General features: G+C 38.6%; 1 annotated feature.

Moving 5' to 3' along the window:
* Positions 518–1,102: an enhancer, noted in NCBI's record as "OCT4-NANOG hESC enhancer chr5:160616217-160616801 (GRCh37/hg19 assembly coordinates)". NCBI's record gives its function as "activates a minimal SCP1, AML or CMV promoter by ChIP-STARR-seq in naive H9 embryonic stem cells {active_cell/tissue: H9 hESC(naive)}" and the evidence as "EXISTENCE:reporter gene assay evidence [ECO:0000049][PMID:30033119]".

Genomic DNA, 1,373 nt, shown 5'->3' with positions numbered 1-1,373 from the left:
AGCAACAGACTTTATATTAGTCAGGCATTCTTCAGTTGCAACAGATAAAAAAAAAATCAAACTAGCTTAAGACAAAAAGAAGTGTATGAGGGATTTATTACTTCATGTAATTGAACACCTCAGGCATGGCCTCACTCTCACTGGTTTAGAGAATCAGGCAATGACATTCAATGCAGGCCGAGAGCCTGGAAAATTACGGTGGCAATTGTGGAAATGAAGGAACCTCTGCCTGTCAAGGTCTACAAATACATTCTGCCTAAATTATTTGGCAATTCCTGAGCTGCTCCCGAATCAGGGAGGCTCCAAAATTCTCAGTGTAAAGCAATAGATGGAAGATTGAGAGCTGAACAATTGCTTTGCTGCCCACCACAGGAAAGACAGAATTTGGATTTTGAGGCTTATCCTAAATACATTCAAGGACTTAAGGGGAAATATGCATATAATAGAGAAATAATGTGAAAACCTAGCAGAGAAATAGAAACTATAAGAACCAAATAAAGGTTCTCATTCGCCTCTGCTTTCTAACCTTAGAAGTCACAATTCCATCCTTGGGTCTCAGGTTTGTCTTGACTGAGCTAAGTCACCTGCTGTGCTTTCCTCACCAGAGCAAACTGACTGGTCATCAGGGTTTAGTGGCAACTGACACAGAGTGGGCTGCCACTCCTTCCCTGAGCTACCTGGGAAGGATGAGACAGCAGCAGGCTTCCTAGGCTCTAAAACTCATTCCTCCAAACTAATGCTGTTCAAAAGGTGGTAAGTGCCTCCCTGGGATACCTTAACAGCAAGACAAAGCATTATGAATGGCCTATGTTGGCCTGTATTGTGGTGTTCTGAATTCAGGCATATTAGAGAGTATGTGGTAGCGAGGAGTATTTTCATTTAAAGATTTCCTCTCATTCACCCCAAGTGCAGTCAAAGGTGGCATTTTGCCTGAGTGAGATTGTCCTGGAGCAAAGCAAGGATAGTGTGAGTTAAAAATACCTGACATGAAGGGGACTTACTTTAGAGGAAAACTTTATATCAAGTAAAGTGGTCACTGGGATGCCTGTTAATACATTTATTTGACTTGAGAAGTGAAGTCAGAGTTTTTCTGACAGAAATTAAACCTGATTTTGGTTTAAAAAAAAGAATCAAATAAAAATTCTATAACTATAAAGTATAATATTTGAAAGAACACATTGGCTGGATAAACTGGAAAGCAGATTGGCAAATAAAAGGATACAAAAAATAATTCATCATCATCTGACCTACACTACAAGAAATATTAAACAAGATTCTTTAGGATAGAATGAAACCAAAAGCTGTTGGATGGAAACTTGTATCTACAAGAAGAAAGAAAGAGCACTGAAAAAAAAAATATATACATATATATG

The sequence above is a fragment of the Homo sapiens genome, chromosome 5 (genome assembly GCF_000001405.40).
Source record: "Homo sapiens chromosome 5, GRCh38.p14 Primary Assembly".
Taxonomy (NCBI): Eukaryota; Metazoa; Chordata; class Mammalia; order Primates; family Hominidae; genus Homo; species Homo sapiens.
This window is presented reverse-complemented; position numbering and strand designations above follow the sequence as displayed.